This window comes from Homo sapiens, chromosome X (genome assembly GCF_000001405.40).
Source record: "Homo sapiens chromosome X, GRCh38.p14 Primary Assembly".
NCBI lineage: Eukaryota > Metazoa > Chordata > Mammalia > Primates > Hominidae > Homo > Homo sapiens.
In genome coordinates, this window is record NC_000023.11 from 89,272,086 (window position 1) to 89,294,857 (window position 22,772).

General features: G+C 37.3%; 1 annotated feature.

Annotated features, from left to right (window-relative positions):
- Positions 20,883-21,382: an enhancer, noted in NCBI's record as "H3K4me1 hESC enhancer chrX:88547967-88548466 (GRCh37/hg19 assembly coordinates)". NCBI's record gives its function as "activates a minimal SCP1, AML or CMV promoter by ChIP-STARR-seq in naive and primed H9 embryonic stem cells {active_cell/tissue: H9 hESC(naive and primed)}" and the evidence as "EXISTENCE:reporter gene assay evidence [ECO:0000049][PMID:30033119]".

The following is a 22,772-nucleotide window of genomic DNA, read 5'->3' on the forward strand; positions in this document are numbered from 1 at the left end:
TGGATGGCTTTTTATTCTATTTATTGCCTAATTGCTCTGGTTAAAACTTACAGTGCTTTGCTAAATGGAAGTGGCAAGAGTACGGATCCTTGTCATGTGTCTGATCTTAGAGGAAAAGCATTCAGTTTTTTAACATTAACTATGATGTTAGCTGAGAACCTGTCATATACGGCCTTTGCTATGTTGATATAAACTTCTTTTATATGTAGTTTGTTGAGTTTTATGACTCAAGTGTGTTGAATTTTGTCAAACACTTTTTTGCATTTATCAAGATGTACATGTGGTTTTTATCCTTCATTCTGTTAATGTGATATATCACATTAATGTCTTTCTGTATGTTTAACCATCCTTGCACCCCAGGGATAAATTCCACTTGGTCACAGTGTACATTTTTAAATATGTTATTAAATTTGATTTGCTTGTATTTTCTTCAGGGTTTTTGCAAATACGTTCATCAGAAATATTGGTCTGAAGTTTACTTTTCTTGTAGTGTCTTTGTCTGACTTTGATATTAGAATAATGCTGGACTCATAAAATGAGTTTGAAAGTGTTCCCTCCTTTTAAATTTTTTGGAAGAATTTGAGTGTGATTGGTTTTATGTATTCTTTAAATGTTTGATAAAATTCATCCATGAAGACATCTGGTCTTGAGGTTGTTTTGTCGTTGTTGGGAGGTGTTTGATTACTAATTAAATTTCCTTACTTGTCGTTGGTCATTTTAGGTTTTTGATTTCTTAAAAATTCAGTCTTAGTAGGTTGTATGTTTCTAGGAATTTCTCCATTTCTTCCAAGTTATCTAATTTCTTATTGTATAATTGCTCATACCAATGTTTGTGATTCTTTTTTATTTCTGTGGAAAGAATTGTAATGTCTTCTTTTAATTTCTAATTTTATTAATTTTAGTCTTCTCTCTTTTCTTCTTAGTCTAGTTAAATGTTTGTCAATTTTGTTGATTAAAAAACTCAGTTTCATTGATTTGTTCTAATTTTTATTTTATTATTATTATTTTTTGTTTCAGATAGTACCATTTTCTTTCTTCTGCTAACTTCTGGCTTAGTTTGTTATTGTTGTTTTTGAGGTATCAAGTTAGATTGTTAATTTGTGATCTTCCTTTCTTCATTTTTTACAAGACTCCTGGATCAGAGACAATCTTCTTTATTAATGTAGGCATTTACCATAACAAACTTCCCATTTAGTACTGCTTTTGCTGTATCCCATGAGTTTTAGTATTATGTATCTTCATTTTAATTTATCTTAAGATATTTTCTGATTTCTCTTTTTATTTCTTCTTTGACCCATTGATTGTTCAGAATTGTGTTTTTAATTTCCTCATATTTTTGAGTATTCTAATTTTCCTTCTCTTATGGGTTTCTGGTTTCATTCCATTGTGGAGAAAAAGATACTTAGTATGATTTCATTCTTTTAAAATTTGTTAAGACATTTTGAGAATGTGTATTTTTCTGCTGTTGGATGGAATGTTTTGTATATGACTGGTAGGTCCATTTGGTCTTTAATGATTTGAAGTCTGTTATTTCTTTATTTTCTATTTGGATCATGTATTTGGTATTACGAGTGGGGTATTGAAGTTTTCAGTTATTATTGTATTGCAGTTTATCTCTTTATTCTGTCTTTTTGATATTTTTAGTTCCTCTGAATAGATGTACATACATGTTTATAATTGTTGGGCCTTCCTGAGGAATTCATCATTATATGTCCTTTTGTGTCTCTTGTTACAGTGTTTGAATTATAGTCTATTTTGTCTAATATAAGTATTGCCACCCTCGTTTCTTTTATTTACATTTGCATAGAATATCTTTTTCTATTCCTCGCCTTTCAGCCTAAGTCCCTAAATCTCAAGTATGGATTTTTTAGACAGCACATAGGTTTGTTTATTTGTTTGTTTTTTTAAATATCCATTCAACTACTTTAAGTCTTTTGATTTTGGATTTTACTTATTTTTATTTTAAATAATTTTACCTTTTTGTTGCTAAAAGAATATATTTTATAATTTTAATATTTTTGCAACTTTTGTTTTAGAATTAGGGGTATATGTGAAGTGTTGTTACAATGGCATATTGTGTGATGCTGTGGTTTGGAGTACAAATTAATCCATCACTGAGGTAGTGAGCATGGTACCCAATAGGTAGTTTTTCTCAACATTTACCCCACTTCCTCCCTCTAACTTTTTGAAATCTCCAGCGTCTACTGTTCCCATTTTTATGATTGTGTGTGTCCAATGTTTAGCTTCTACTTATAAGTGAGAACTTGTGGCATTTGGTTTTCTGTTTCTCCATTAGTTCACTTAAGATCGTGGTTTCCAGCTGTATCTATGTTTCTGCAAAGGACATAACTTATTTCTTCTTTATGGCTGCATAGTATTCCATGGTGCATATATACCATATTTTCCTTTTCTAATTCACCATTTATGGACACCTAGGATGATTCCATTACTTTGTTATTGTGAATACCACTGTGATGAAAGTATGGATACATGTGTCTTTTTGGTAGGATGGTGGATTTTATTTTGGGTATACACTCAGGAGTGGGATTGCTGGGTTGAATGGTAGTTCAACTCTCAGTTTATTGAGAAATCTCCAAACTGCTTTCCAGAGTGACTGAACTAATTTAAATTCTCACCAACAGTGTATAAGTGTTCTCTTTTCTCTGCAGCCAAGCCAACATTTTTATTTATTTACTTTTATTTTTCAGCAAAAGCTATTCTGACTGTTGTGAAATGGTATCTCACTGTGGTTTCAGCTTGCATTTTTCTGATGATTAGCAATGATGAGCATAGTTTTCTATGTTTATTGGCCACTTGTATGTGCTCTTTTGAGAATCATTTGTTGATGTGCTCTGCCCATTTTTTAATGGGCTTATTTGGTTTCTGCTTGTTGGGTTGTTTAAGTTACTAATAGATTCTGGATGTAATATAGAACAAAATTATTTTTTGTAAGTGATTGTTTTATTTTATTCATTACAGTTTCTGAAAAATACAGCTATTCAGTTATACCAGTTCTCAAACTATGTATTTGAACTCCCTGCCAATCATTTATTGCAAAATTTAATGTTGACATTCATTAATCTGATGCCAAGGAGATAATTTCTTTCTGTCTGACATAAAACAATGATAAAAGAGACAATAGTTACTTTGATTGCACAATAGTAGAGGAAACATATTTTTTCATGAACAATAAGGATGATTATTTCATTCTTAGCAATATACATGGCTATCATTTCTTTTTATGAAGTAAGTAGCCTGTTTATTAATTGAAGTATTCCAACATTTTTATGTTGGAGTCCCAGCTCCCAGTACCTCCAAATGTGGCCTTATTTGTAAACACAATGATTAACCATGTAATTAGTTATGATGATGTTATAATGGAGTAGGGTGATAGTCTAATCCAACATGATTGGTGTCCTTTATAAAAATATTTGGGCCTAGATAACACACAAGGAAAATTTCATGTGATGATAAAGGCAGAGATATGAGTGATGCTTCTGCAAGTGAAGAGCCACCAAAGATCAACAGTAAACCATCATAAGTTAGGCAAGAGTCATGAAACAAATTCTTTCTCACAGTAGTCAGCAGAAAGCAGTTCTGCCAATACTTTGATCTTGCACTTCTAACCTCTAGAACTGTGAAAGAATGCATTATAGTCTTTTAAGCTACCCAGTTTTTGGTGCTTTCTTATAGTGAAGTAAGGCAGATGAGCCAAAAAATTGGGGATTAGAATGGAAACTTTCTTGGCTTCACTTTAAAGAAGAATTCAAGAGTGAGCCAGTGGTAATTAAAAGAGCTTTATTGAGGTGGCAGTGTTACAGCTCCATGACTACTCCTGCAGAGCAAATCTACCCCACAGAGCAGCTCAGGGGCAGCTCTGCAGTCATATTTATAACCAACTTTTAATTACATGCAAATGAAGGGGTGGGTTATTCAGAATTTTCTATAAAAAGGTTGGTAATTTCAAGGTCATTCCCATGGAATGGAGATGTAACTTCCGGGTGTTGCCATGGCAATGGCAAATTGACATGGCACTGGTGGGCAAGTCTTATGAAGACGTGCTTTGGGTGCCTCTTCCCTGTTTCAGCCAGTCTTCAGTCTGATCCAGAGTAAAATCCTGCCTCCTACCTCATTCCTCACTCAGAGATTAGATACTTATTTTTAAACTCAAGGGGTTCACAAAAGGATGGAGATCTGTATTCTATAACTGCTTCCTGCTGAGTTCGTGGGTGTAGGCTCTGCCTGGCACTGAAGGAGTAAAAATTTTTGAATAAGAAAAATCCAGATCCAGAGATAAGAACTACGTCACATACAAGGGAGTCCTGACATACTATCAATGGATTTCTTAACAGAAACCCTGAAGGAAAGAATGGTATGAAATATTCAAAGTTTTGAAAGAAATAATATAAAAACTGGCAATAAAGAATACTTTAGTTACTTTAATTGGAAAAACTGTTCTTCTAACATGCAGCAGGTTTGTTTTTGTTTGTTTGTTTGTTTTTAAGACGGCTGATTAGGGATGTCAGATTCCAGGTCTCCTCAGAAAGATCAAAGTTACAAATGAGTGGCCGTGATTTGAATGGAAAGCTGAAGAAAGAAGGCCTGGATCTCTTTGAGAGCCCAGGGGAAACAGCTGGTGTGCCTAAAAGGCAAACAGCAAATATATTAAGTATATTGCAAAAATTAATCCCCCAAAGAACTCGGAGCTCCATGAAAAGGACAGGTTCGAGTGCTTCTGTACTTTCCTCATGCCTGCAACAATCTGCTGACCACTAAATGGTTGGGGAGGCCTTCTGTCTTAGTTACCCTGGGCAATGCTTTTGGTGGCTGTTTGGGAAATTGCCAGGGACAGAGCACTGTGCGGTCAGTTCACACAGATGCACCCACATTCTTCTCAGGGCTGAACCGAGATGGTCGGAGACATACTGTTTGTGTACCCAATGTGAGCCACTGCTTTGTCTAGGGAAACTCAGCTCTTATATCATTGCATCACCAGATATCCTGCAAACATACCCCAAAACTTGCTCCGACTTTGGCAATGAGAGGAGACTGCCGAGTTTCTGCGAAGCTGCATAATCCCTGAAGATCTAGCCTTCAGCAGGGGCCACCCCTATGGAGCAGGGAGAACATAGACCATCAAAGCCACCTTGGGACAAAGGAAATGTAAACAAAACACCAATCACTGAGGGTGGTAGCACCAGTGACTGGGAACAGACGTGGAGAAGGGGTAATCTTGTGCTGCCCCATCGACTGTCACAGACACAGTAGAGGCTCTCACACTGGGGTTTGGTGTGAGTCTACTTGGAGACAACCTTCCCATTGCTTTATACAGTGGTTTCACTCCCATTGCAAGTAAGACCATACTGAATGGGCATGCACAAAATATGAGGCCCATCTTCCCCTTTTACACAGAGCAATAAAATCCTGGCAACAGCAGGCAGACAAGTCACAGAACTTTCTGTGCTGGACTGAGGGATGTATCTCTGCCTCGAGCTTGTTTTGATGGTAGCTGCCAGAGGGGAAATAATACAGACTCTAGTCACACTTCAGTTAGGAGCCAAAGAACAGTATCCATATGAATTGAAGGTCAAGAGCCCTGTTATGGGGCATCATAAGGAAGAAGATTGTATTTCTGCCTGCCCAGGATGAGAAGCTGGTGCAGCCTTTACCCCCTTATTCCTATCCTGGACACTTCAGTGCATTCCAACATGATCTCCCCCTCAGTGCTCCCCAAGAAAGTAGATGCCTATATTTATTATCAAGCTACCAGAGAGTGAGCTGGCTCTTACTCTAAAGCACCATTTACTCTACTGGAGAGTAAACTTCACTACCAAATACAAAACTTACTACTAAAAGGGCATAGTGCCAGTGTATGATATAAGCTTCCTGAGATTTCTGCATTCTTGGACCCACAGGAGATAGTCAGATCATATGTTCAATACATTGGTACAACAAGATGCATTTGGGAAAATTATTGCAAAAGAGCTATCCACAACTAAGGAACCCATACAAAACCTGTGCACCTTGAAAACATCCAGAAATAAAACCAAATGATTTTACACAAGATACACCACAGTAACAACCTCAAGGGAAAAAAAGAATAAATAATAAAGAAGTCCCATCCAAATGATAGCAAACACAAAACTGAGAAGTGACACTGCTTCAGAGGAGGAAAAAAATCATTGCAAGAACTCTGGCAGTAGAAAAAGACAGATTGTTTCAACATCTCCAGCAGAATGTACTCGCTATCTCAGTATAGATCCTAAACAAAATGAAAATTCTGAAATGAGAAATAAGGAATTCAAAATATGGATTATAATGAAGCTCAAAGAGATGAAATAGAACATTAAAAACAAACAAAAAAAAACAGAGAAATGATTCAGGATAGGGAAGATGAGATATCTATGTTAAAAATATAGAACTTTTGGAATTAAAAAATAAAAGAAAATTCAAATAGAATTGAAACCTTCAAAAGTTGACTAGATCAAACAGAAGAATTCCAGAATTTGAAAACTGGTCTTTCAAATTAATCCAATCAGAAAATATTTTTTAAATAATTTTTAAAAATCAACAAAGCCTTTGAGAAATATGAGATGAGGAAATGTGACCAAACCTATGATTTATATGCATTCTTGAGAGAGAAGAACAAAAAGTAAGCAATTTGGAAAACATATTTGTGGCAATAATTCAGGAACATTACCCTAATATTGCTAGAGAGATAAACATCCAGATACAAAAAATTCAGAGGATAACTGCAAGATACTACACAAGATGAACATCACCAAGACATATAGCCATCCAGACTATCCCAGGTCAAACGTACTGAAAAAAATCATAAAGCAGATAGAGAAAGGGGGACAAATCCCATGCAAAGATAATCCCATCAGACTGTCAACAGACTGCTCCACAGAAAACAGAAGAGAATGTTGCTCTATTTTGAGCCTTCTAAAAGAAACAGAAATGCCATCCAAAATTTTCATATCCTGCCAAACAAAGCTTCATAAATAAAGCAGAAAAAATGTATTTCCTATACAAGGAAACACTAAGATAATTTGTCATCATGCCACCACTAGATTGTACATACAAAGAAATGCTCAAATGAGTTCTCAGCATGGAAATAAAAAAGATCATACTTCTATCAAAATGCACATGTAAATATAAACTTCACAGATCCTATAAAGTAATTATACAATTGAGACTACAGCAACTAGCTAACAACAGTATAACAGGAACAAAACCTCACATATCAATATTATCCTTTAATGTAAATAGCTTAAATGTTCCACTAAAAGGTATAGAATGGCAAATTGGATTTAAAAAATAAAACACAAGACCCAACCATATGTTGCCTTTAAGAGACCTACTTAAAGTGTCATGACATCCATAGGCTCACAGTAAATGAGTGAAGAAATATATTTCACATACATGGAAAACAAAACAGAGCAAGGTTGCTATTCTTGTATCACACCACATAAGCCAGACTTTAAACAAACAACAGTAAAGACAGACAAAAAAGGCACTGTGTAATGATATAGGGTTCAATTCAACAAGAAGGTTTATCTATTCTAAATATATATGCACCCAACACCAAAAAAGCCAGATTTATAAAACAAATGCTAATATGACTAAGAAAAGAGATAGACATTCATAAAATAATAGACGGGAGTTCAATACTTCATTGACAGCAGTAGAAAAATATTTGATGCAGAAAAGTAACAAACTCTGGTCTTAAACTGTACTCTTGACCAATTGAAACTAATAGATAAATCAGAATATTTCATCCAACAATGGCACAATATACATTTTTCTAATCTGTGCATGAAATATAGTCAATTTATGGATTTCATGCACAGATGAAAATTCACAGATTAATTCCCCAAAACTAATCATATACTTGTCCATAAAGCAAGTTTCAATATACTTTTAAAAATCTATCACTATATCGGATCAAGTATATTCTCAGACCACAGTGGAATAAATCTAGGAATCTATACCAAGAGGAGTCCTCAAAGCCATACAAGAACAAGGAAAATAAACAACTTGTTTTTGAATGACTTTGTGTAAACAATAAAATTCAGGCAAAAATTAAAATTTTTTGAAACAAATGAAAATATAGACACTGCACACCAAAACTTCTCAGATGCAGCAAAAGTAGTATTAAAAGGAAAGTTTCTAAAACTAAATTTTTATTTCAAAAAGATAAAAGATTTCAAGTGACAACCTAATATCACACTTCAAAGCACTGGAACAACAGAAACAATTCAAAACCCAAGGACAGTCGAAGAAAAAAATAACAAAAATCATAGTAGAACTAAATGAAATTAAGGCCAAATAAATAATACAAAGGATCAACAAAATGACAAGTTTGTTTTTTTGAAAGTATAAACAAAATTGATAGACAGCTAGCTAGATTAAGAAAAGCAATTCAAATAGGCACAATTAGAAATGATAAAGGTTATATTACAACTGATACCACAGCAATACAAAAGACGATCAAAGATTACTGTGAACATCTCTACATGCACAAACTAGAGAGCATAAAGAAAATGGAAAAATTCCTGGAAACATGCAAACTTCCAAGATTGAACCAGGAAGAAATAGATTAGACATAGATTTCTATTTCTTCCTGGTTCAATCTTGGAAGTTTGCATGTTTCCAGGAATTTTCTATGCCAATAATGAGTTATGAAATTGAATCAGTGATAAAACATCTACCAACCAAAGCCCAGGATCATATGGATTTAGAGCTAAATTCTACCAGGAGTACAACAAAATCTGGTACAAATGTTACTAAAACTACTACAAAAAATAAAGGAGTAGACATGCCTCCCTAACTCATTCTATGAAACCAGTATTATTCTGACACCAAAATCTAGCAAGAATGCAACACAAAAGTAAACTTTAGGTCAATATTCTTGATAAACATAGACACAAAATTCACAACCAAATACTGGTAAACAGTATCTACCAGCAAGCCAAAAACATAATTTATCATCATCAAGTGGGGTTTATCCCAGAAATGCAAGGATGGTTCAACATATGAAAATGTGTTATTTACAACATATTCAGAAATAACAACAAAAAGCACATGATCATCTCAATAGTTGCAGATAAAATTCAGCATCCCTTTATGATAAAAACCCTCAACAACATAGGCATCAAACGAATATATTTCAAATTAGTAACAGCCATGTATGACAACCCACAGCCAACATCATACTTAATGAGGAAAAATTGAAAGCATTCCTCCTAAGAACTAGTATAAGACAGGGATGTCCACTCTCATCACTTTTCTTCAACATAGTACTGAAAGCCCTATCCAGAGAAACTAGGGAGGAAAACAAAAAACATCCAAGTTGGAAAAGAGAAAATCAAATTATCTCTGTTTGCTGATCAGATGATCTTATATCTGGAAAATCTGAAGATTGCTCCAGAAGACTTTCACATCTGATAAACAACTTCAACAAAGTTTTAGGATACAAAATTAATGCACAAATACTAGTTGCATTTCTATACACCAACAATGCTCAATTTAAGAGCCAAATCAATAAATCAATCTTAGTTAAAATAGCCACAAAAATATCTATGAATACCTTTAACCAGGAAGGTGAAAGACCTATATAAGGAAAACTACAATACACTGATGAAATAAATTGTAGACAACACAAATGAACGAACATGCTATGCCCATGGATAGAATCAATATGATTAAAATGAATATACACCCCAAAGCATTCTACAGATTCAATACAATTCTTATGAAAATACCAACATCGTTTTTCACAGAGTTAGACAAAACAATTCTAAAATTCATATGGAAACAAAGAAGAGCCCAAGATAGCCAAAGCAATCGTAAGCAATAAGAACAAAGTTGGAAACATCACATTGCCTGACTGCAAACTATGCTACAAGGAGATAGTGACCCAAACAGCACTGCACAGGGACAAAAATAGACACATAAATCAATAGAATAGAAAAAGAAACCAGAAATAAAGCCACATACCTACAACTAACTGATTCTTGACAAAGTAAACACAAGTAAACATTGGGGAAAGGACATCCTATTCAATAAATGCTTCAGGAAGAACAGGCTAGCTAAATGTTGAATAATGCAACTGGACCATTATCTCCCACTGCATAGAAAAATTAACTCAAGATGGAGTAAAAGTTTACATTTTAGACTGGATTCTCAAAAAGTTCTGGAAGAAAACCTAGGAAAATGTCTTCTGGACATTGGCCTAGATAAAGAATTTATGGCTAAGGCATCAAAGGCCAGTGCAACAAAAACAAAAATATACAAGTTAAAATTAAATAAAAGGGCTTCTGCACAACAAAAGACACTAACAACAGACTAAATTGGTAACCTACAGCGTGGAAGAAAATATTTGCAAACTATGAGTCTGATAAATGACTAATATTCATAATCTATAAGGAATTTAAACAAATCAACACTAAGAAACCAATAACCTCATCAAATAGTGAGCAAGGAGATGAACAGACACTTCTCAAAGAAGACATATAATGAGTCAACAAATATATGAAAAAAGACTCAATATTACAAATCATCATATACATGCAAATTAACACCACAATGAAATCCATCTCATAAGAGTTGGAATGGCTATTATTAAATACTCAAAAAATAAAAGATGTTGGTGAGGATGTAGAGAAAAAGGGACACTTATTTACCATTACTTGTACTGTAAATTAGTTCAACCCCTAAGGTAATCAGTATCCAGATTTCTCAAAGAACTAAAAACAGAACTGCTATTTGACCCAGCAACCCCACTGCTGCTTCTCTCTCCAAAGGAAGAGAAATCATTCCACCAAAAAGACACCTGCACTCATATGTTTATGGCAGTCCTATTCACAGTAACAAAGTCATGGAATCAACCTAAGTGTCAGTCCATGGTTGATTGTGCAAAGAAAATGTGGTATATATATACAGCATGAAATCCCATGCAGCCATAAAAAATAATAATGCCTTTGTAGCAACATGGATGGAGCGGGAGGCCATTAACCTAAATGAAATAACTCAAAAACAGAAAAACAAATACTTCATAATCTCACCTTTAGGAGTTAAGCAGTGGGTACACATGGAACAAATATGGAAATAGTAGACACAGAAATCCAGCATATATATATACACACACACATATATAGTTAATAATAATGTATATTTCTATTATTACAATACAATAATATGTACTTTTAATACATAATATGTATTTTAATAATGTATTTTAAAATTATATTAACTATATATAGTTAATATTAATGTATATTTAAAAATTGTTAAGAGAATGCAATTCAAATTTCTCATTAAAAGTGATAGCAAGTGATGTAATAGTTAATTTAGCTTTATTTAATCTTCCACATTGTGTGTTTGTGTGTGTGTGTGTGTGTGTGTACACACACATACACATACACACACACACAGGTGTGGGACCTGTGGGACATGGACTGGCTTCCTCTCCTTGGGTTAACTGCAGCACATTGGAGGTGTGGATAAAGGACTTAGGGTCTTTGCTCCTTTGTTAGTCTGAGGGTAGAAAGATCAGTTCCACTCCAGAGGCCGTGGCAGAGAAGTTTTCAGTTGTCCCTGGAGGCTCTGTCCAGGAATTTTCTCAGTTGCTACTGGCTCAGTAGCTCTGGTGGGGGTGGCTGGAGGCCCAGGCATGGAGGACCTCACCAGTGAGGAGACGTGGGACCAAGCCCCCACTTAAGTCTGGTCACTTTTCCATTGGACTGCTGCAGTATGCTGGGGGGCTCACTCCAGTCCCTAGTCACCTTAGATTTTCCAATACCTGGAGGTATCACCAGTGAAGGCTGTGTAACAGCAAAGATGGCAGCCTTCTCCTCCAGACCTGTTTTTGGCCTGAACACACCTGTGGAAGGTAGCTAGAGACCACGGTTGGGAGTTCCCACCCAGTGAGGAGGAACAGGATTGGCAGACCTGCTTGAAAAAGCAGCCTGGTCATGTTTTGGTGGAGCAGCTGTGCTATGCTGGGTGTCCACTTCAGCCCCCAGTCACCTCAGACACTCCAAAGCCCAAAGGTCGGAATAGCTAAGTCACTCAAACAGCAAAGATGGCAGCTCACCCCTCCTCTGGGAGCCCCATCCCTGGAGACTTTGAAACCTCTGTCAGCCAGAGAACACTGGGGGATAGCTGGAGATCCGGGTTGGGAGGCCCCACTGACGATGAGAAACAGGATTGGGGGAACTGCTTAAAAAAGCAATCTGGCCATGTTTTCATAAGGCAGTTGTGCTGTGCAGGGGGTCCACTTCAGCCCCTAGTCACCTTGTACTCTCCAAAGGCCAGAATAGCTGTGTCACTCAAACGGCACAGATGGCAGCCCATCCCTCCCTCTGGGAGCTCCATTCTAGGGAGGCTTCAAATCTCTGTCAACTGGAGAACACCAGTGGGGGTGGCTAAAGACCCCAGTTGGAAGTCCTGCACACTGAAAAGGAATGGGAGAGGGGATCTTCTTAAAAAGGCAGTCTGGCGGTATTTTCATAGAGCAGTTGTGATGTGCTGTAGGATCCCTCCTGTTTCTGGTCAGCTTAGACTCTCCAAAGACCACAGGGTGGAACGGCTGTCTCCCAAACAGCAAAGATGGTGGCCTACCCCTACCCCCAGGAGCTCCATCCCAGTCGCAATATTACTATCAGTGGCTGGCTGAAATTCCAAGCCAGAGTTTTATTCTGTGAGGTGCCTTGGTAGTGGGACCTGCGGACAGTCACTGCTCAGCTCCCTGGATTCAGCCTCTTTCCTAGGGATATGTACAGGTGGTCTAACCTTTCACTTTGCTGGAATTGCAAGTAATTTTTCTGGGAAGCCCAGAAAGCCTGAGTATCTAAGGCTCCTGGGTCTCCACATGTGCCTGAGCAGATGCTCAGCAAAGACTCCGCATAGCTCTGTGTGTCAGACTGAAGGCCCTGGTGGAGTGGGTTCATGAGGGGAATCTCCTGACCCAAGGGTTGCAAAGATCTGTGGAAGAAGCGTGGGTTCCTGCAGTCACACTTTCACTCACCACTTCCTTGGGTGGCGGAGGTTACTTGGCTCCATGTCACTCCTGGGTAGGCCATCATTCTGCTTTGATTTTCTCCATTTTTCGTGGGTCAAGTTGTTTTCTTGATTAGTCCTTATGCACGCTCCTGGATGTTTCAGTTGAAAATGCTGTATTTACTCACCCCTTCCTTTTCTCTCCATGAGAGCCATGCACACTAGCTGCTTCTAGTTGGCCATCTTGGCCATCTCCCCAACAGAGAACATTTCGGACAGGGGTGACAAATATGGATTTGATGATGGAATCTTTTAACCTTGATGCGAAGCTACAAGAAGGCTTCAACACCTTCGGTTTACAACAGTATTAGACTGTCTCACTTCCATCATTAATTACAAATTATTAATGAGCACCCTACACAGTGCAGGATTGGTCAGTCTGTTCAAAGCTTTGATTGGACACTCCTCAGTTATAGTCAAGCAGATCCTCAGTATCACAATGCATGCTTTTTTTTTTTTATTGTGGAAGTGCATTAAGAACTTGTGTTTGTACAATCTATAATTTACAAGCTATAGGAAACTGGGAGCAGAATGAAAAATGTCTGATTTCAACCATCAATGGCAATATGCTATAAAAATCTCTAGGAAGTGTTAAAACACAGGATTGACATCTGCTCTGTGACATGAACACTCCATATGAACATTTATAAAGTTAAAATTAACTGTGAGAGTTACTCTGCCAAGTAGAATTTACAGGTTCACATATAACCTACATACTCAATGATACATATTTGGACATGTTAATTTAGTTTTAATTCACTCCATGTTTGTCTTGAAGATCAAGTGAATTTAGGACAGATAGTATGATTGCTAAGCAGCAGGAAAATTCACTTTATTTCTTTGGTCATAAATTAACTTGAAACCTTTCAGCTTGAGTTTCTTGTTATTTCTTTGTTTGTTTGTTTTCTTTTTCCAGACCTGTTATTTTTGTTATAGGTACAGACTAAGTAGAGAGTTAGATTAACTAGAGTTGAGGGTCTTCCAGGTAACTACAATAGAGAAATAAAAAGTGTGAGCAAGAGAGGAACAAACAGGCAAGTGGCATGTACATACAAGGCAGAGATTGCAATGAAAGAACATGAACTCTAAAGTGGGTAATAAGGGAAAGTAATACATGCAGAAAACATTGAAAAGTGAAAAGGTGGTAATGTAAATAAGTTTGATTCCAATAGAGTCAAATAATTGTTGGAAAGGGATGCTAGAGGCTATGACCTACAAAGATAGGATATTGTGACTGGTGAATAGATTTATTGAAATTGAGATTTTGTAAATGTAATTAATGAAAATAATAATGTCTATGATCATAGGTGGAGGTGTCACAGGTGGGACAAAGGAAAAGCTCACTGACACTAATGAAGTCAAGAAACTGAGAGAACAGTTTGAGGGATTTTTTTTTTTATTTTAACATTCCTGACAACTGACAAGAGTGGTGTTGGATATAAATTAAGTCAGACATAAAATTCTGAAGGAAGAAATGTAAATAATTAGCCAGTCTATAAATAAAAAGAGAGACAGTGATATGGTTAGCCCATGTGTCTTCACCCAAATCTCATCTTGAATTGTAATCCCCAGATGTTGAGGGAGGACCCTGGTGGGAGGTGATTGGATCATGGAGGTGGTTTCTCCCATGCTGTTCTCATGGTAGTGAGTACTCACAAGATCTGATGGCTTTATTAGTGTTTGGCAAGTTCCTCCTTCACTCACTCTTCTCTCTTCTGCCGACTTAAGAAGAAGGTGCTTGCTTCCCCTTCCACCATGATTGTAAGTTTCCTGATGCCTCCCCAGCCATGCAGAACTGTGAATCAATTAAACCCCTTTTCTTTATATATTACCCAGTTTTGGGTAGTATCTTTATAGCAGTGTGAGAACAGACTAATATCTTTACAGCAGTGTGAGAACAGACTAATACAAATGTTATACTAACACCATATATAATATATAGTATAGTATGGCATGCAATTCAAAGGATATTTTTTCTTTTTGTAAATTAGAAGGGAAGAATAATGGTCCAGAATTGGCAAAAAAAAAAAAAAAACTAAGACAATATATTCTCAGGCCCACTAGGTCATAGAATGTGAGGTAATAGAATCTCTTTCACTCATCTTAGCTCCTGGGGGAAACACTGTCCTCTGGAGACATCCAGAAAATTTAAGAAGGTAAAGGATACATCCAGGAAAACATTGAAGCATTTTTCCATTAGAGAGCACAGTGAGAGGATTTAAGGCATTCAGAATAGATTGAAAATGGGTACATATTATGGTATATACACTGCCATGAGAAGATAAAAATCGATCCACTTTATGATAGAGAATTTTGGAGTCTTGGCCCCCTTGTGATCATCAAAGTAAGCAAGGACAAGAGTCATAAAGATAATTTTCTCTATTGTCATTTACATGGAGGTGAATAATTATTCTAATTATTAGTATAATTTTAGGGTCTCTCCATGAGTAGGAACTCTCTGAGTTTGCCGATATATTTTCTAATAGGTTGATGTGATGTTCATCCTAGGGAAAGACTACATTACAAAAAGCAAGTGGATGTCTATGCTAGCTGCCTAAATCATGTTGAAAATGATGTCAATGCTCAGAGACGGGCAGTCCTACTAAGACTATAAGAAATTCTGCCAACTGTGAACTTTAAACTCTTTTGAGGTGAATAACTAACCAACAGCCAACAAAATTCTTATCTGAGAAACAGTGAAAATAAATGTTATATTTAGGAAAAAGACAAGGATGCTTTCTACTATCCCAATTTTAAATATTTGTCAGGAAATTTTACTTAATATATTTTATATATTTTATAATTTGCAACATTATATAAATTATATATCATATATATATCATGTATGATCATATATATATGATGTTGCTGAAATGGGAAAAGTTCCCTTGTCCCTCTTGCAGGGTGTGAAATGGGGATGTGGCTTGCTTCTTCAGTGCTCTATTGCTCAAACCTTTAGGGGAGCATACAGATGGGCAGGGAGACCCATGGCAGTGTCCAGGGGTGAATGTTTACAGCTGAAGCCCCAGTGACCATGTGTTACTGGGTGCTCTTTTAGTTTAGCCATGCATAGGTAGCTGTGTTAGCTCAATTAGACCCCTGCTTTATCGCAAGCACAGAGGGCTTTCTGTATCCCAGGGTTCTTGCCTTGGAGTACGGGAAGAATTGGATCACACATGGGCTTGGAGAATGAGTCCAAGGTTTTATTGAATGGAAGTAGCTCTCAGCAGTGGGGGAGCCAGAAGGGAGAAGATTTTCCCCTAGAGTCGGGCCACTTGGAGGCCTGGACTCTCCTCCAACTGCCCCAACCAAACTCTGTGTCATTCTGCTGGTCGGTGGCCTGCCAGCATGTTCAGTGTGTTCCTCTCGACATCCAACCGTCCGTGTGTTCCTCCGCTGATGTGCTCCTCTCGATGTCCAGCCACCTGTGTGTCTGCTTGCTAGCATCTTGGGGTTTTTACAGGCACAGGATGGGGCCGTGGCAGGCCAGGGTGGTCTTGGGAAATGCAACATTTGGGCAGGAAAACAAAAATGCCTGTCCTCATGTAGGTCTGTGGCCACAGGCCTGGGTGTGGAGTCCTAGCCAGGGACCACAACCTTACCCCCTTCCGTATAATTTAAAGGGATCATGCCCTTCCTTTCCCAGAATTTTCCTTCCATATCATTGCTAATGACATGTTTGGATACTTCAGAAATCTAAGATAGATCAGCTAAGACAAATAAGAGCTTAGAATTTGTCACTTTCATTCTTTTAACAAGGAAAAGCTGGAAAAACTGAAAAACAGTTGACACTTTTTGGACTCATCAGAGAAGTGAAGTTACTGGATTTCCTTGAAATATTTAGAAACAGTTATTTTCAGAAGGACAAAACACATGAGCAATTTCTTATCTGGAGCAGACACTGCCAGACACCCTAGAAGGCAGTAAGAACATTAAACTAGAAATTCTGATGAATTTATGGTGCCCAAATGTGGGCTAGCTTCTGGAGGCTGCAGTCACAGGAATACCCCTCATTTCTGTAGGCTTTCCTGCAGAAGCTCCACCAGGCTTTCATAGAGTGGATTTAGAAAAATCCTAAGAGTGCTCCCTTTGTGACTCTGCCAAGGGAAGGGAAGGAATTAGGAGGCAGGGTGAAAAAGAGTCTACCCCTAAAGAAAAAAAAGAAACACGAATTACAAAAGTCACAGCTCTGAAACACAGCTTACTATGCATTCCAAAACTTGAGAATAAAACATAAAACCTAGAGAATGCCTTATATCCTTCTTTCCTATATGATCACTATACTAGTAATGCCTCCAATAATGGTTACAGTGGATTACAACTAAAAGAGCTAAAAGAAAAAATAAATAAATAAAACTTTCTGAGAAGCAGAATAGAGAAGCCCAAAATTCAAGAGGAGAGAAAAAAAACATGATTACTAGAGAAATATGAATCTTCCAGTGTCCATAGCTACAACAAACATCAAACATAACACAACTCTTGGCCAGATAACATGTATACCAAACATCTATTAACATATATGATATGTTCAGCATTCAACAAAAAGTTCTAAGACATGCCCAAAAGGCAAGAAGCAAACAAATAAACAAACAACACACAGTCAGAAGACAAAGTATTAATGAGACACAGACTCACTTATGACATGAATGTTGGAATTGTCAGAGAGGAAATTTAAAAATGATTATGATTACCTTGTCAAAATCTCTAATGAAAAAGGTACAGGACAGGCAAAACCAGAAGGGTCACATAAGAGGAGAGATGCAAATTGTAAGAATAAAAAGAAAAGGTTATAAATTATTTTTAAAAAATATGGCAACAAAAATGAAGAATGCTCTCCATAGTTCATCAGTATACCCAACACAACTAAATAAAAAGTCAGTAAATTTGAAGACAGGTAAATAGAAAATTTTCAAACTGAAATTGAATAAAAAAGTGACAAAAATAGAACAGAACATTCAAGAACTGTGGGAAAATATCTGCAAAACTGTAATACTAGAAGAAAAAGGCAAAATGAAACAAAATAAAAATTTGAAGAAATAGTAGTTGAAAAATGTTAAATTAGTGACAGTCACCAATACATGGATCTAAGAAGCTTAGAGAACCCTAAGAAAAGATAACACACTGTATTAGTCAGGATTCTCCCAAAAAATATAAACAATAGAACCAATAGGCTCTATTTTTGTCTCTCCATAGAGAGAGAGATACAGAAGTTTATTTTAAGAAGTTGGCTCACATGATTATGGTAGCAGGCAAATCCAAAAGCTGCAGGATGGATTGGCAGGTTGGAGACCCAAAGAAGAGCAAATAATGTAGTTCAAGTCTGAAGGCCATCAAAATAAAGTTTCAGGAAGGAACCAACATTGCAGTTCAAATCCAAAGGATATCTACTGGCAGAATTACTCTTTGCTTGGGGGAAGTCAGTACTTTTGTTCTATTCAGTTCTTAACTGAGTGGATGAGACCCACCCAACTTACAGAGGGAAATCTCTTTTGCTCAAAGTTGACTAATTTATATGCTAATCTCATGGAAAACAATCTTCATAAAAATATCTGGAATAATGTGTGACCAAATATTTGGGCACAATGAGGTATCCAAATTGACACTTAAAATTAATTATCACACATAACAAAACATAGATAAGAATTGCTGAAGACGTCTTATCAGATATTATGTCAACAGGAAAATAATGGCATACAATATTTAAAATTTTAAAAGAAAAATTCTGCCAATCAAAAATTCTATACTCAGCAAAACATGTACTTTAAGATTGAAAAAAAATCCTTTCTCAAAAAAAAAATTATTACTAGTAGACTAGCCCTACAAAAATTGTTAAAGGAAGTTCTTCACAGAAAGAAACTTATATAGGTCAGAAAAATTGAGAATATACAAAAAAAAGAAGAGTGGAGCACAACAAATAAATAAAGGTAAAATATCTTTTATGTTTTTCTTAATTTCCCAAAAGATAATTGACACTTTAAAACAATAATAATAACAATGTATGAAGTATTTATAGCATATGTTTAAATAAAATGAATGATGACTGTGTCAGAAGAGATGAGAGAGGAATTAAGAATATCATAAATTACCTGCACTATATCTGAATGAAATAGTATTATTTAAAGAGGAACTTAGATTGTTTAAAAATGTATATAGTAAACCCTCAGGCAACCACTAAAATGATGAAAAGGAATTATAAATGATATGTCAGTATGGAAGACAAATGGCATCATAATAAATGTTCAATAAATAGCAGAGAGAGCCACAGAAGGAAACATTTAAAAGAAAGAGCAAATGCAATTAATACAAAGCATAAAGATAATAGGCTGGGCGTCGTGGCTCACATCTGTAATCCCAGCACTTTGGGAGGCTGAGGCAGGCAGATCACATGAGGTCAGGAGTTCAAGACCAGTCTGACCAACATGGAGAAATGCTGTCTCTACTAAAAATACAAAATTAGCCAGGCATGGTGGTGCATGCCTGTAATCCCAGCTACTCGGGAGGCTAAGGCAGGAGAATCACCTGAACCTGGGAGGTGGAGGTTGAGGTGAGCAAAGATCATGCCATTGCACTCCAGCCTGGGCAACAAGAGTGAAACTCTGTCTCAAAAAAAAAAAAAAAAAAAAAAAGAAACAGATAGTATATATAGTTTCTTCCAAATATATTTGGAATCACTTTATACCTGAATAGTCTAAATACACCAGTCAAAATCAGAAATTGGTTTTCTGTTCCTGTGTTAATTCACTTAGGATTATGGCCTTCAGTTCTATCCATGTTGTTGCAAAGGACATGCTTTTATTTTTTTTTCTATAGCTGTGTAGTATTTCATGGTGTATGTGTAACACATTTTCTCAATTATAAATAGTAGCTAAATATTGAGCACACAAGGACTCAAACAAGGGAACAACAGACACTGTGGACTACTAGACGGGGAGGTGGAAAGAAGGAGCTGGGTTGAAAAACTACCTATTGGGTAATATGTCAGTACCTGGGTGCAATATAACCATGTAAAAAATCTGCACATGTACGCCCTGTATCTAAAAAAAAAGTTGAATTTAAAAAAAAAGAAATTGGGAAGTATGATCAACTGATAAACACCAATGTAGGGAAATATGTAGACTTAAGAACACTCTTACACAATACTTATTAGAGTTTTAATTGGTATGATCACTTTTGGGAGCCATTTGGTAATATCTCGTGAGATTAAAAATGTGCATATTTCATGACCAGACAATTCCAACCCTCAATGTCTATATCAGATATGTTCTATTTTATATATGCCAGGAAACATATGAAAAAAAGTATTTACTTTAGCGCTTGTTTATATCAGCAAATAAAGTGTAAATAAATTAACTTTCTGCCAATAGGAAAATCGGTGACTTAGAGATAGCTTATTTTTATAAGAAAATAGTATATAATATTAGAAATGAATTCAGTTGATTTACTTGTATCAAGAGGGATAAATATAGAAAAGATAATGTTGAGGAGGAGCCAAGATGGCTAACAGGAACAGCTCCGGTCTACAGCTCCCAGTGAGAGCGACGCAGAAGACGGGTGATTTCTACATTTCCATCTGAAGTACCGGGTTCATCTCACCATGGAGTGCCAGACAGTGGGCGCAGGTCAGTGGGTGCGTGCACCGTGCATGAGCCAAAGCGGGGCAAGGCATTGCCTCACTCGGGAAGTGCAAGGGGTCAGGGAGTTCCCTTTCCTAGTCAAAGAAAGGGATGTCAGACGGCACCTGGAAAATCGGGTCACTCCCACCTGAATACTGCACTTTTCTGACGGGCTTAAAAAACGGTGCACCAGGAGATTATATCCCACACCTGGCTCAGAGGGTCCTACGCCCACAGAGTCTTGCTGATTGCTAGCACAGCAGTCTGAGATCAAACTGCAAGGTGGCAGCAAGGCTGGGGGAGGGGCGCCCACCATTGCCCAGGCTTGCTTAGGTAAACAAAGCAGAGGGGAAGCTCGAACTGGGTGGAGCCCACCACAGCTCAAGGAGGCCTGCCTGCCTCTGTAGGCTCCACCTCTGGGGGCAGGGCACAGACAAACAAAAAGACAGCAGTAACCTCTGCAGACTTAAATGTCCCTGTCTGACAGCTTTGAAGAGAGCAGTGGTTCTTCCAGCACGCAGCTGGAGATCTGAGAACAGGCAGACTGCCTCCTCAAGTGGGTCCCTGACCTCTGACCCCCAAGCAGCCTAACTGGAAGGCACCCCCAAGCAGGGGCAGACTGACACCTCACAGGGCCGGGTACTCCAACAGACCTGCAGCTGAGGGTCCTGTCTGTTAGAAGGAAAACTAACAAACAGAAAGGACATCCACACCAAAAACCCATCTGTACATCACCATCATCAAAGACCAAAAGTAGATAAAGCCACAAAGATGGGGAAAAAACAGAGCAGAAAAACTGGAAACTCTAAAAAGCAGAGCACCTATCCTCCAAAGGAACGCAGTTCCTCACCAGCAACAGAACAAAGCTGGACAGAGAATGACTTTGACGAGCTGAGAGAAGAAGGCTTCAGACGATCAAATTACTCCGAGCTATGGGATGACATTCAAACCAAAGACAAAGAAGTTGAAAACTTTGAAAAAAATTTAGAAGAATGTATAACTAGAATAACCAATACAGAGAAGTGCTTAAAGGAGCTGATGGAGCTGAAAACCAAGGCTCGAGAACTACGTGAAGAATGCAGAAGCCTCAGGAGCCGATGTGATCAACTGGAAGAAAGGGTATCAGCGATGGAAGATGAAATGAATGAAATGAAGTGAGAAGGGAAGTTTAGAGAAAAAAGAATAAAAAGAAACGAGCAAAGCCTCCAAGAAATATGGGACTATGTGAAAAGACCAAATCTACGTCTGATTGGTGTGCCTGAAAGTGACGGGGAGAATGGAACCAAGTTGGAAAACATTCTGCAGGATATTATCCAGGAGAACTTCCCCAATCTAGCAAGGCAGGCCAACATTCAGATTCAGGAGATACAGAGAACGCCACAAAGATACTCCTCGAGAAGAGCAACTCCAAGACACATAATTGTCAGATTCACCAAAGTTGAAATGAAGGAAAAAATGTTAAGGGCAGCCAGAGAGAAAGGTCAGGTTACCCTCAAAGGGAAGCACATCAGACTAACAGAAGATCTCTCAGCAGAAACTCTACAAGCCAGAAGAGACTGGGAGCCAATATTCAACATTCTTAAAGAAAAGAATTTTCAAGCCAGAATTTCATATCCAGCCAAACTAAGCTTCATAAGTGAAGGAGAAATAAAATACTTTATAGACAAGCAAATGCTGAGAGATTTTGTCACCACGAGGCCTGCCCTAAAAGAGCTCCTGAAGGAAGTGCTAAACATGGAAAGGAACAACTGGTACCAGCCACTGCAAAATCATGCCAAAATGTAAAGACCATCGAGACTAGGAAGAAACTGCATCAACTAACAAGCAAAATAACCAGCTAATATCATAATGAGAGGATCAAATTCACACATAACAATATTAACTTTAAATGTAAATGGACTAAATGCTCCAATTAAAAGACACAGACTGGCAAATTGGATAAAGAGTCAAGACCCATCAGTGTGCTGTATTCAGGAAACCCATCTCATGTGCAGAGACACACATAGGCTCAAAATAAAAGGATGGAGGAAGATCTACCAAGCAAATGGAAAACAAAAAAAGGCAGGGGTTGCAATCCTAGTCTTTGATAAAACA